At 35.9% G+C, this 13,946-nt stretch overlaps 1 protein-coding gene across 7 annotated transcripts in view; it reads right to left on the bottom strand.

The window, feature by feature from the left end:
* The window catches only part of SNRK (SNF related kinase), a 64,604-nt gene that overhangs the window by 42,678 nt on the left and 7,980 nt on the right, over nt 1-13,946 (bottom strand). For 4 of the 7 annotated variants that reach the window (XM_047448396.1, XM_005265245.4, NM_017719.5 and 1 more), the window contains 2 exons: nt 8,651-8,712; nt 4,674-5,368 (listed from right to left, as the gene is read on the bottom strand). The exons of 1 other annotated variant lie outside the window; for it this stretch is intronic. In XM_047448396.1, coding sequence (XP_047304352.1) covers nt 4,674-5,262 — 589 coding nt within the window. In that variant the 5' untranslated portion in view covers nt 5,263-5,368; nt 8,651-8,712. Of the gene's footprint in view, nt 1-4,673; nt 5,369-8,650; nt 8,713-11,018; nt 11,535-13,946 lie in introns of those variants that run through there. 2 more of the 7 variants (XM_047448398.1, NM_001100594.2) reach the window with 2 other exon arrangements.

Genomic DNA, 13,946 nt, shown 5'->3' with positions numbered 1-13,946 from the left:
ACTTTAAGTGGCCAGCTGCATTTACCCATAACAAAGAGTGTCAGCCTGCCTTTTGAGGCTTTGAAACCAGGCATTGACTTCTCCTCTCTAGCTATGAAAGTCCTACATGGGATCTTCTTCCAATAGAAGGCTGTTTTAGTTACATCAAAAATCTGTTGTTCAGTGGAGCCAGCTTCATCAATTATCTTAGCTAGATCTTCTGGCTAACTTGCTGCAGCTTCTCCATTAGCACTTGCTGTTTCATCTTGTACTTTTATGTTATGGAGATGGCTTCTTTCCTTAAACCTCATGAATCAAACTCTGCTAGTTTCAAACTTTTCCTCTGCAGCTTCCTCCCCTCTCTTAGCCCTCAGAGAACTGAAGAGAGTTAGGGCCTTGCTCTGGATTAGGTTTTGGCTTAAGGGAATATTGTGGCTAGTTAGATCTTTTACCCACACCACTAAAACTTTCTTCATATCAACAATAAGGCTGTTTCACTTTCTTACCATTCGTGTGTTCACTGGAGTGGCACTTTTAATTTCCTTCAAGAACTTTTCTTTTGCATTCATAACTTGGCTATTAGGTGCAAGAAGCCTAGCTTTCAGTCTATCTTGCCTCACTATGTCTTGCTCGATAAGCTTAATCATTTCCAGCATTTGACTTAAAGTGAGAGATGTACCACTCTTCCTTTCACTTGAACACTTAGAGGCCACTGTAATTAATTGGCCTAATTTCAATATTGTTGTATCTCAGAGAATAGGGAAGCCCAAGAAGAGAGAGAGAGACAGAGAGAGAGAGAGATGGGGGAATGGCTGGTAGGTAAAACAGTCAGAACACATACAACATTTATTGGTTAAGTTTGCTGTCTTATCTGGGTGCTGTGTCTGGCACCCCAAAACAACTACAATAGTAACATTAAAGATCACTGATCACAGATCACCATAAAAAATAAATAATGACAAAGTTTAAAATATTTTGAGAATTACCAAAATGTGACAGAGAGGCATGATGTCAGCATATGCTGTTGCAAAAATGGTGCCAAGAAACTTGCTTGATGAAGGGTTGCGGCAACCTTCAATTTGTAAATAAACAAAAAAACCGCAAGATCTGAGATGTGCAATAAAGTTATGCACAATAAAATGAGGTATGCCTTTGTTTAAAAGGGATAAATCTAAAGCAATGACAAAACAGAATTTAAGGCAATATGTATCAAGGAGTATACTTTCGTATTGATAAAAGGTATAACTCATCATGTAAAATATATTAGAAACTTTTAATATCTTTATTGTCAATTATAGCTTGACAATACCATGTATAAAGCAAAAAATGGTTAAATTACAAAATTCACAGATGAGAATAGAAGACTACCATTATTCTCTCAGAAAATGACAGGTCAGAATAAAAACATGTAAGGGTACAAAGGAACAAGGTGCATAATGCATAATCTTAAGTATGTATAAAAACTCCAAGTATACAAATATTTTAATCACATAAAGAACAGTCACCATGGTATGAATTACCATGTATCAAGCCACAAAGAAAATCTAAAAATAGTATCCGAAGCAGAAATCAATTGGGCATAAATTAACTTCAATGTACTAAAATTAGAAGTTAAAAACCAGACAACTAAAGAGAAAAATAAATCTATCCATTTGGAATTTTTAAAAAGGAACACCTTTCTAAATAACTTTTCAGTTAAGTAAGAAACCAAAGACAAATTTTAGCAAGGACAACTGCAGAGTGAAACCCCTAGAATGTCATCAGGGATTGTGGGAGAGGGCATCATATAGCATTAAAGTTAAAGATGTACACATCAGATATTGCCAAATTGTCTTCTAAATAGCATTAATAAACCATTTGTTAGAAATCAAGACACACAGAAATAAGCTTTTGATACATGATGCTATTAAAAAATAGGAAACCTCAAAGATCCTAGAAAGAATAAAGATGAAAGAAAAAAAATGACATCTAAAACAAAAAGTATAGTTGATAAAATCAAATCTGATCTTTTGAAAATAATAATAAAATAGACAATTCCTCAGCTAAGTCTCAATGCTGAGGACCAGTATACTATAAAACACTTATTCAAAAAAAAGAACCAAAGTTTTTTTATTTAGTAACATCTCACAATATAATGACAGATTTTAATATTTGTGTATGCTCATTTTACTAAACATTTGTGAAAAATCACTGACTAATTTTGGCATGATAAACTAATGTAGATTAACAGAAAGACACCTGTCCTTTTTTTTAAAAATAGCAATTCTATATTTATTTCAATCACACATCACACAATATAAATTGAAATAACTATAAATAATGAAAATGAAAAAGTTACCTATGAACTCCACCCAAGCCTACTTCACCAACACACGGTAATCATTTATCAGACTGGTGAACATCTTCCCAAGTGGTTTTCTTTTCCTTTTTTAATAGCTTTTTAAAAGTTTTATTATGCAATATTTAAGACATAAGGGGGGAAGAAAAAGGAACATTACAATGAACTCCTGTGTACCCACCACCCAACTTCAAAAATAAACATCACCAATACAGCTGAAAGCCTACAGATATGCCTGCCCCTCAGAAGTAACCTATCTTGCTCTCATGCATTCTTCAGAGTTTACTACATGTACTACATGTTCATGTACTCCTAAACAATATATAACACTGCTTTGTATGTTTTAAAATTTTATATAAATGTTGGCTGGGTGCGGTGGCTCATGCCTGTAATCCCAGCACTTTGGGAGGCTGAGGCGGGTGGATCACGAGGTCAGGAGATCAAGACCATCCTGGCTAACACGGTGAAACCCCGTCTCTACTAAAAATAAAAAAAAAATTAGCTAGGCGTGGTGGCAGGGGGCCGGTAGTCCCAGCTACTCGGGAGGCTGAGGCAGGAGAATGGTGTGAACCCAGGAGGCAGAGCTTGCAGAGAGCCGACAGGGCACCACTGCACTCCAGCCTGGGTGACAGAACGAGACTCTGTCTCAAAAAAAAAAAAAAAAAAAATTGTATATAAATGTTATATGTACTCTTCATCAATTTGCTTTGTTTCTCTTAAAAAGTATGCTTGTGAGATCCAATCATGTTGGCAAATTGTTTAATTTTCACCGTATACAGAATATGAATACTGAACGAATTATTCCCCTGCTGTACATTCAACAATGCTGTTAAAAACGTTCTTTGAAAATCTCTTGTATGCATAAGTGAGAGCTACTCTGAGGTGCATATATAGGAGAGAACTGCTAGGTTATCAGATGTGTACATCTTTACCTTTACCAGATATTGCCAAACTGTCTTCTAAATAAGAGTTCCTGATATTCTATGGTCTTACCAACACTTAGTTTTGTCTGACTTCAGTTTTTCCCAATGTGAAAAGTATGAAAGAGTATCTTATTTTTAATAGATTTAAAGAGTACTTTATTTTTAATAAGATACTCTTATTAAATCTGCACTAATGAGGGTGAAGATTTTTTCTTGGGTAGACATTTGTGTTTCCTCTCCTGGAAATTCCTGGCTTCACTGTCTGATTAGAATGGCTCCATTAATCAAAAATCTCCGCTCAGATATTCTAATGAAAGACTTCAGTGAAGTCTAGTTATCTGTAGTAGGCAGAAACTGCTCATTAACCCTTTCTTTTCCAGAACATGATAGTCATAACATGAAAATCAGTGTCTTGGTGTACAGAGTATTCAATATAACATCAACACTCTTCAATGTTAAGTGCACCTTTGTCATTAATCCTTTAACCTGCATTTCAAATTACCACAAATGCAAGCAGAATACTCATACATATGAATCTGACATCATGTGCATGTATTTTTTTCCAAGATTAACAAATTAAAAAGCTGACTGCACCTTCGGATCAACAAATCCTTTAAAAAAATTAAGAACAAATTCCTACATGATCTTCAAAACAAATACAATCCCAAGGAGACAAAGTTGACACAAACTGAAAGGCAGTAAATACTTTCACCACAAATAGATAAATCTTGACAAGTGAAAGAGCACAAAGTGTGTGGAGAGGGAAAGAAGGTAGTTAGGAATGCCAAAGGTACCACAATTCCAGAATCCACCATACAGAAAGCCTCTGTATGTCAGTTTCCTATTCTGAACAATGAGATAGACAATAACAACCCCACGGGTCGCTGTGAAAAGTAAACAAGATAATATGGGAGTGCTACACCTGTACCTGATTCAATATTATATTATGGATAAAAAATGAAGCAGAGAGGTCAAGCACTTGTTCAAGTTCACAGTTAATAAATGATTCTAATACCCAAATTCTTTATATTGCACTGTAATATTCACAGTACCTTTCCAATATGGGTCTCCAATGATTGTTAGACGATATGCACAGAGAGGAGATGGCTAAAGAGAGCCACTAAAAGAAAAATCTGAGGAAAAGCATTCAGACCTTAAGAAAAAAATGACAATGAACAGAAAAGAGATTACTTTAAATGATAACTTACTCATTTTCCTTTGTACTCACAAATATACTTTAGACATTTGCCATCTAAAGGTTGAAATAAACGAAATGCCAGCTTTAGGCATATATGGCATTTATGAAACCCAATTTGCTAGTTAAGGCCAATTTAACAGAAATTCTCTAGAAATCATTTTTAGATAAACAACCGATCTGACCAACTCTAGCTGGCAGAATTCAAATGGCCAAATACTGGACCGAGGTTACCTACCTACTGCAGGTGCATCATACTCATCACCAAGCAGAATTTCTGGAGCGGAATATGCAAGAGATCCACAGCTTGTAGTGAGCTTCTTCCCTGGTTGAAATTTGTTGCTGAACCCAAAGTCTGTCAACTTTACAAGACCTTGTTTTTCAAAGAAGACTACATTCTCTGGTTTTAAGTCTCTGTGAACCACATGGAGTTTATGGCAATAAGATATAGCATGAACTATCTGAGCAAAATACTTCTTGGCCAAGTCTTCATTAAGACCCTCCTCATGTTTCATTATATAATCAAACATATCTCCTCCATCCCCAAGTTCTAGAATAAGATATAGTTTGGTCTGGGTGTCAATAACTTCATAAAGGCGGACGATGTTAGGATGCTGCACTAGTTTCATGCATCTCACTTCCTGGAAAAGATGACCAGTAGCTAGAGTGTCCAGTTTTGTCTTGTCAATAACTTTTACTGCCACCTTTTCACCCGTAAAGACATGCCTGGCAAGTTTAACCACGGCAAAATGGCCTCGACCCAAGGTTTTATCCAGATCATATAATCCAGCAATCTTTCCATCATACCCTCGCTTAAATCCTGCCATGCTGGTCCAACAGAAGAAAAAATATTTAGACTGTTTAAAATAGATCTTCTCATATAAGAATATCTGGTGAATACAAAAAATTCATTTTCAATGTCGTCATGGATATCTACAAAATAAGAAGAGAAACAAAATTAAGTTTCTGCGACTTTTCTTCACAAACTTTAAAATCACTTCATTTTTTGTTTTTTTCATTTTAAGAGAAACTTGAAGAAAATAAATTGAGATAAAAAATGAGTCAGGGTCATTAATAAAACCTATTTTTACATTTAGACTTTATATTACAAAGGCTGAATTTAAATACCATATCAAGTTTTTGCAAACTGAAAAAAAAATTAGTTCATTGGAAGCAATTTTTTGGTGATGTGAGTAATAAGAAAACTGGCAAGTTTGATAAGCATGTTTAAAAAACAAACATTTTCTAAAAGGAATTTTAGTGTCTTAAAAAATAACGCAACAGTTGACAAGGGAAAACACAAAGAATAAACATTTGCACAGAAACCCAACAACTTTTCAGTTTCCCCAAGACCAACACCACTTCCTTTAAGTGCAAAAAAAAAAAAAAAAATCCATTCTGTGAAGGTTTCTCTAACTCTCCCAGCTGGAATTACCTTCTCTCCTCAATATCCCCAGAGCACCTTGGGACACCTCTATTCTATGTGGTCTTATTCTACAGGTATTTGGGTACACCATCTCCTCTAACCTGACAGTAGCAGGTTCTCAGGGATTTTCTATTCTAAGGTTCTATTTTTTTTTCTTCTACTTTCCCCCAACACCTAGAACAGTGGTTACAAATAGCATATAATCAAAACTGTCTTATTAAATTTTGAAATGCAACTTTTTCCAAAATGTTTAGGAGGTAATTGTTTGCTCTTGCATCACTACTGTTTAGGATAAGCTCCTGGCACATAGTAGGTGCTTAACATATCAGTAAACATATTAACATTGACTTTTTAAACTTATAATTGAATTTATATAAATGTTTTGAGGGGGTTCTAGGTATATGGTAGTAGGTACTTAGTAAATATTTGTTAATTTACTGGTACTCAGCAGTTATGCTGATTTTTAATGATTGTTTTCCAACTGTCAATCACAACCCAGCATAACGTGATTATATTCCAAGAGTAAACAGGCATGCATTCTTACAGATGATTTAAGTCTTAAAAATCATTTGGTTTTTAAGAACCACATTTCGTACTGTACTTAAAAATTTCAACTTTTACAATAAATGAATAGAAATAGGTTCCTATTTATAAATGACAATGACTCAGAAAAACAAACGTGTATAAAATTAAACAAGATGCAACTTTATATCTCACAGGCTGAACCCTCACTTTTGTTCTGACCAACATTTAATAGAACTGAGTAACAAAATCCAACAAGGAATATAGCAACCTCCTAAGGCTAGCTCTCTCCCATTAGTCAGTATCTATCCCTTTGACGAAGCTTTTTCTACTGCTCTCAATATACAGTTTCACATTTTCAGTTACATATTAAGAGCATTAATTATTGAGTCCACTTAGATAAAAATATCCCAAAAAACGAAATTTGACATATAATAGGTAAGTTTTTTTTTAATTTTTAAAAACTGCTATTTATTTTTATTAGAGACAGGGTCTTGCTATGTTGCTCAGGCTGGTCTTGAACTCTTGGCCTCATGCAATCCTCCTGCCTTGGCCTCCCAAAGTACAAGGATTACAGGCTGGAGCCACCGTGCCTGGCCAGTCAGCACTGGTCTCATTTTTATAGCTAAGGCAATAGGCTGCTCTAGGTACAAGTGACATTAACTACAAAACCTAGGATTCACACCTAATTAATACATTTCAAAGCCCACATTGTTTATAAACATTTGGCCACTCTAATCAATGCCCCATTTAGGATAATATTATTTTTAGAGTTAAAATACCAACTATAAAAGAAGCATAAAGTCACTTTTATATTTATACCACTTCAGAAATGATCTGAATTGCATACCTAGAACCCCCTCAAAAAATTTATGTATGTTAAATTATAAGTTCAAAAAGTCAATGTTAATATGTTTACTAATATATTTTTTGCACTTTAGTAATTATTGTAATAATAAATAGCACTACCATTTACTGAATGAGTATTACACACCAGTCACATACCAAATACTTCACATTATCCTCATTCAATCCTCACAATTCCCCTCAAAGACAGGAATTATTAACCCCCTTTTGAGGCACAGTAACTTGGCCTAGGCCAAATGGCCAGTGTGTAAAAGAGCTGGGACTGAAACCCACGGCTGTCTGACACCAAAGTCCGTGCTTTAAAACACTATGCTACGCTGTGTCTGCAAACTGATTTCAGAACCAAAACTATTAATCCTGCTATTAAGATTTTTAAACTATTAAGATTTTTAAATAAGAAACTGATACAATGCCTAGGTGTGTGTGGGGGGAAGCAAATTTCTTCCATATGTATATTATCCCTGTCATCTGAACTAATAACTTTAATGACAGGATTAACAGGAAAATCCAAATTGAAAGACCTTGCTTTATTTGGACAGCAGTTCCCCAAAAGAAATTTTAATTTGGGTATATTTAATTTTCAAATATAAAAACTCTGGGGGGGGGGCAGGAAACTATCTTTAAATATTTAACTTCAATTAATTACAAGGGCAATAATTATGCTTAAAATTCCACCCAAGTCTGTTGCTATTGCATAAGCTTGCAAATGCCACTTTAGCTTTCAAAACACATTCCTTCAGGCTGCCCCCAAGTTATATAACTTTGTTCTTTTCATCTATCATTTTAGTTTAGATGTGTTCCTGGAAAGTGACATATAAATCAGATTTTATAAATGAATCTGATTTTTGAAAATAAAAGTTTTATTACAAAAATAAATGAAAAAGCTTTTTTTTCAGAGCCTCAGACACCTAGAGATAAGTACTATTAAACCCTAATGTTTCTCTTCCCAAACCTTTGCCAGCAAGAGGGCACAGTGAAATGATTTTTAATCTATAGCAAGCTATAGATTAAATAGAAATAATCTAATTGGTATCTTCACAATGAGTACCCTATAGTGAAACAATCACTCTTACTACCAAATAATTTACTTTTTATATGAGCACCCCTTTTCCATAGTCTATGAAACCACAATTAAATTGTATAGCTAAGAACAGGACACAATGATTAACTGAAAGTTTAGACGAAAAATATCCTTGTTCCTGAACATCTTTTTAAACACTAGTCTACTGTCTAATCCTACTATTAAGTACATTTTGAGTTAGAGTACAAAGTAACTAAATCATTTTTTTTGATCTCTGAGGATCTTGCAGCTCCCAAAAGTCATTCTGAACATCAATGCCCAATGTTAAGATGTGGCTTATATAAAGTAAAGGTGAATTTGTACTGTCTCCAAGACATACCCTGCAAACTGCATACTGAATAATCCTTATTATCACAGTGTTTTGTTAGTTGCTTCTTTTTCCTAAAAGAAAATAAAGAAAAAGATACAGGTTTAGTTCTATTTGTTTGAATTTTGCTTAAAGTCAAAGTATATACTCTAAGGCTGGATCTAGACACATGTATAAAAATAGTAAAATTTGTCTTTAGTAACCCAGTCTCCTATTATCCTTCTGCCTTCTGTGAATTACAACTCCTTTAAGCGAAATTTAATAAACAGGGATTTCAGAGTGAACAGAGATTGTTCCAGGTAGACAGGTCAGAAAAATTATTCCACTGGAATGAAGAAATAATAATGAACAAGGCCGGGTGCGGTGGCTCACGCCTGTAATCCCAGCACTTTGGGAGGCCGAGACAGGTGGATCATGAGGTCAGGAGCTCAAGACTTGCCTGACCAATATGGTGAAACCCCGTCTCTACTAAAAATACAAAAATTAGCCAGGCGTGGAGGCGGGCGCCTGTAATCCCAGCTACTCAGGAGACTGAGGCAGGAGACTTGCTTGAACCCAGGAGGCGGAGGTTGCAATGAGCCGAGATGGCGCCATTGCACTCCAACCTGGGTGACAAAGCGAGACTCCATCTCAAAAATAATAATAATAATGAACAACAGTACAATTGCCATTTTTAAAATGCCTCTTGCAACAGGCCCCGAACTCACATTTCACTGAATCCTCCCCATGAAACTGCATAGTAGGTACAATGAGGCTTAACTTGCCTGTGAAGCAGCAGTCTCTAGCTCCAATCATGCTCAGCCTGGCACCAAAACCACCCAGTCTCTAGGAGCCCCTAAAGGCTCATGAAACCCTCACGCTATAGCAGCCAAGGACGGCAAGCTTTACAACACACTGTCCTCTAGAAGGCAAGTGGAAATCACTTATGATGCCAGCATTAGGGATCACACAAAGCACCTTCATCATCCGAGGACTGTCACTTGATAGTAACAAAGAAACTATCACCACAAACAAAAGGAATGTGAGCAAATCACTTATATCCAAACTTCATGGCACAATGAGGGAATACTGACCAAGGTAGCCTTGCAGGTCTTCCCATGAAAATAAACTATTACATGAATAACAGAGAGGCCTAAACATTCACATTATGCCAACATGATAATTTACACTATACACTAATGGTGAGAGGTGTCCAGGTAAAGTTCAAATGCACTTGGGAGAAAAGGAGTGCAAGGGAATGGAGGAAACAAGATAGGACAGGTGAAAGGACGAGGAAAGGTGGTTGACCTCTGGATATGAAAGCAAGTGTCCTGCCAGGAATGAGGGAATGTGGAGCAACAGTTCTGCAGCACACACAGGGCTGGCAAAGCCATGGGCACAGGTCCATATCTAGTGACAGATGAACCCTGGGATGCCTACCTGACTGGTTCTTCAGCTCCAAGAGGGATATAGTAGCTCCTTCCACTATCCTTGCCTGCTTCTCTTTTTCCAGCAGCCCCTGTTTCATCCCTAGTCTCTGTGGCAAAGCAGTGCGGTAGTACAGTAATAAGTACTGGTTCTAAAGACCAACAACTGCATTTGAATCCCAGCTCACCAATCACTAGCCAAAGGAACTCAGCAAGTTACCTTCACCTCTCTGTATGGTCAGTTTCTTCATTAGAAAATGTTAGTAATAAGAAAACAATCTCATAAGATATGGTGAGGATCAAACGACTTAATATAGGTAAAGTGTTTAGAATAGTGCCTGGCACAGAGTAAGCATTCTGTAAATACCAGCTACCACCACCACCATCATTGTTACAGACGACGTTCCCACCATCCAAGCAGAAATTCTTTCAGTTGCTGACCCTACTTCAAGCGAATGAATTCACCAAACTATTATCTCTCTTTTGCTTTCATAAGATAGACCAGTTCAGAAACTGAACTGCTGTTCAGTTTCCTAAAATAAATTGAAAATGAGTGCTGTAAGGTATAGGAAATAATGTCTCTAGTTAGGCATCAAAGACTGGGGGTTTTTCAATAAAATATCTCACAAAATGTAAGTATTTGCTTTTAAAATGATATTAATATAATTTTCTATCAAATTTAGCTTTTCAAAAAGGACTTAATACTCCTTTACATTTTTTCACATCAAATATATTCTTACAGAAAATCTCAAAAACAATTATGAAAGAAAAATCTGTTTAATTCAGGAGAAAACTACAATTAGAACATACAGACTAGTAAAAAAGGGGGGGAGGAATTTTGAAAAAAAAATCCATTATCCCACCCTTTATGATAACATCGCTTTACATTTTGGTATAGATTCTTTCAAATTATTTTCTATTCATAATATATGGCCAGACACAATTTTAAAAAATAAAATGGGGATAATACTTACGGGCTTGGGGGGATGTCAGGGTAAAAAGAGATTTGTAACTATTTTCACAATACTTCTCTCCAAAAAACAAGCTGGAAAAGTTAATACAAGACTTTCACTTTAGAAAGTTTAGAAAATGCATAAAAGCACAAAGAAGAAAGTAAAAATCACCTATACGCTCATCTATGATGACTTCTCATCAGGTCCGAGTGTACATCCTCTATACTTAACAGTTCTTTACAAAGCTAAGATTTTCGACATGAAGTTTGATAACTACTTTTTCCTCTATTTTATAAACTGAACATTTTCCCATGCACTAAGTTCTTCTAGATCAATATTTTAAATGACTATACAGCTAAGATAACATGTCTTTACACAGCAACCACTAGATAGGCCATTCTAGAGCAACCTTTTTATTTAGCACAGGCATATAACTAGGCTGGACCTAAATGAAATAGGCCAACTTGCCAAGAGTGCTCATAATATAAAAACTTATGTCTGAGAAACAAGTACTGTTATGTGCTGCAAGAATATACTGATGTTCTCCTACTGAAGACAGCAGAAGCAACTGAAGCATGTGGGTGTGGCTGGAGAAGAGGAAGGAAGTGTGGGTGGCCCTACACACGTTTTGCAAGCTGCTGAAAACAGTTGTAGAACCAGCTTCTGTTAAACCTACTATCAATTTGGAATTCACCCTGTTATTCTTGTTAAAACTCACTTTTAGGTTTTCATCAACATCATCACCATTGCAGTCTCATCTGTACATCAAACAAATGCCTCTTCCTCACACCTCTTAGAGAGAGGTAGGGACAAAACAGTATGCTCAACAAAGGCAGCTCTGCCTGGATACCACTGTGAACCAATCCATGGCATGAGAAAGTAGAGGAGTTGAACAAAAAGGGCTGTGCACAAAAATTGTACTACTTCTATAGCTTATCTATAATAAACATTTCATTTAGAATATAAGTTTTCCTCCAAAATCAGACGACCAATATTCCTCTCAAACATATTAAATGCTTAAATATATATATATACATATATATATATATATATGCCAGTATATCCATCTAATACAAACAACTAAAAGTTGAGTTTTTGCAAAGCTACACTAAAACTGCATTTAAGCTTCTCATACATATAAATTATCTGGTATATTTTACACATACCAAGAAATGAAAACTGTAATCCTTCCTGAGAAACAGTAGACCAAATTGTACATCTATAGAAAAACCAACTTAAGTAAAGGAATTAACACTCTCTCAATGATATTACCAACCTGATTTTACTGCTAAAATTTTAAAAATGGTATAGGCTGAAAGGAAGACAGTAAACTAAGTCTTCCAGGAATAACCTTTAAGTCAAGCAAAATAAACACAACCCTATCATGCAGTCACCACTGCTGTTTTCTTTATTCAAAGTAAATAATATTTTGGCCAGGCGTGGTGGCTCACACCTGTAATCCAGCATTTTGGGAGGCCAAAGCGGATAGATTACTTGAGGTCAGGAGTTTGAGACCAGCCTGGCCAACATGTTGAAACCCCATCTCTATTAAAAATACAAAAATTAGCTGGGCGTGGTGGCATGGGCCTGTAGTCCCAGCTACTCGGAAGGCTGAGGCAGGAGAATCGCTTGACCACAGGAGGTGGAGGTTGCAGTGAGCAGAGATCACGCCACTGCACTCCAGCCTGAGCAAAAGAGTGAGACTCAGTCTCAAAACAAAAAAAAAGTAAACAATATTTCACTTTTTAAGGACAGCATGCCTCCTCCTAGGAGTTATTAATATAAGCTATAAACCAAAGATAAGAACCATAAACAGGTCAATAGGCCCTAAGTTGTAAAAGAATTCAGAGTTTTTCACTGGATTGGTTGTATTACTATGTGGTTATGCAGTTACCAGTCTGCAATCACTGGATGGAATCAAGATGGGATCTACAAATTAACAGATTAAAGTCATTTATTATTAGAAATGTTCTTTCCAGCAATTTGTACTCCTGAGTCTCTAAGAAAGCATTTTCCAAGACAAGGTAGCTGCTTACTAAAGTATGTTCTTCGTTTTCATCAATTTGATGGGCTAGGGGCCGCTGAGGGGACTAGGAATGTCATGGTGAGAAGCCTGTTCCAGTTTCTTGAGGCAATGATTTGGTTGCCAATGCAGAATCCTTGAAGTACTGGTTTAAGTAATCTTTATTTGCTCTAAGTAAAACAAGCTGCAGTCCAACATATATCAAGTAATCTGAATGTACTCAGGAGTTAGGCAAATCATTAACTGATGTACAGTACTTAGTATTTGTAGAGAGGAAGAGATTAACATCCAAGCCACAAGACCTGGACCAGCAACACAGATGAAATTCCTAAACAGATTCTGCCTCTTGGTCAAAGTGATGAAAAATGCTAAGCATGTCATCATTTCTGCCTACGTGTAAGTAGGACTTAAAAATTAGTATGGTGACAACTCCAGCATTAAGTGTTCACATAATAAGTAATGACTTAAACAAAAGCTGGGTGTATAGAAATTACTCCAAAATAAATAAAGCCAACCCACAATTACTTATTGTGCCCAGGAAAACAGAATATTAAGTTATGGAGAATTTTAATAATCTAAATCTCTGATCTAAAGCTTTTATTAACACTGTCAAAACTCACTTTAACTCCCTACCATCTTTTTATTCCTCCTAATATTTTGATAAAAGTGATCATTAAAAAATGGTCAAAAAAAGAATTGTGGAACAGAAAAAAAAAAAAACTAATCAATAAACCAAAATACTGGCACCTAACATTTCACTGACTTTGACTCAAAGACAGGCTCATTCCAGGAATTCTCTTACACTGGTGGGACTGCAAGCAAGCTACCTTTCTGAAAAACAATTTGGCAATATGTGTACAGGTTGAGCATCCCTAAGGTGAAAATACGAAATCCAAAATGCTCCAAAATCTGAAACTTTCAGTGCC

This window comes from Homo sapiens, chromosome 3, assembly GCF_000001405.40.
Source record: "Homo sapiens chromosome 3, GRCh38.p14 Primary Assembly".
Lineage (NCBI taxonomy): Eukaryota > Metazoa > Chordata > Mammalia > Primates > Hominidae > Homo > Homo sapiens.
This window is presented reverse-complemented; position numbering and strand designations above follow the sequence as displayed.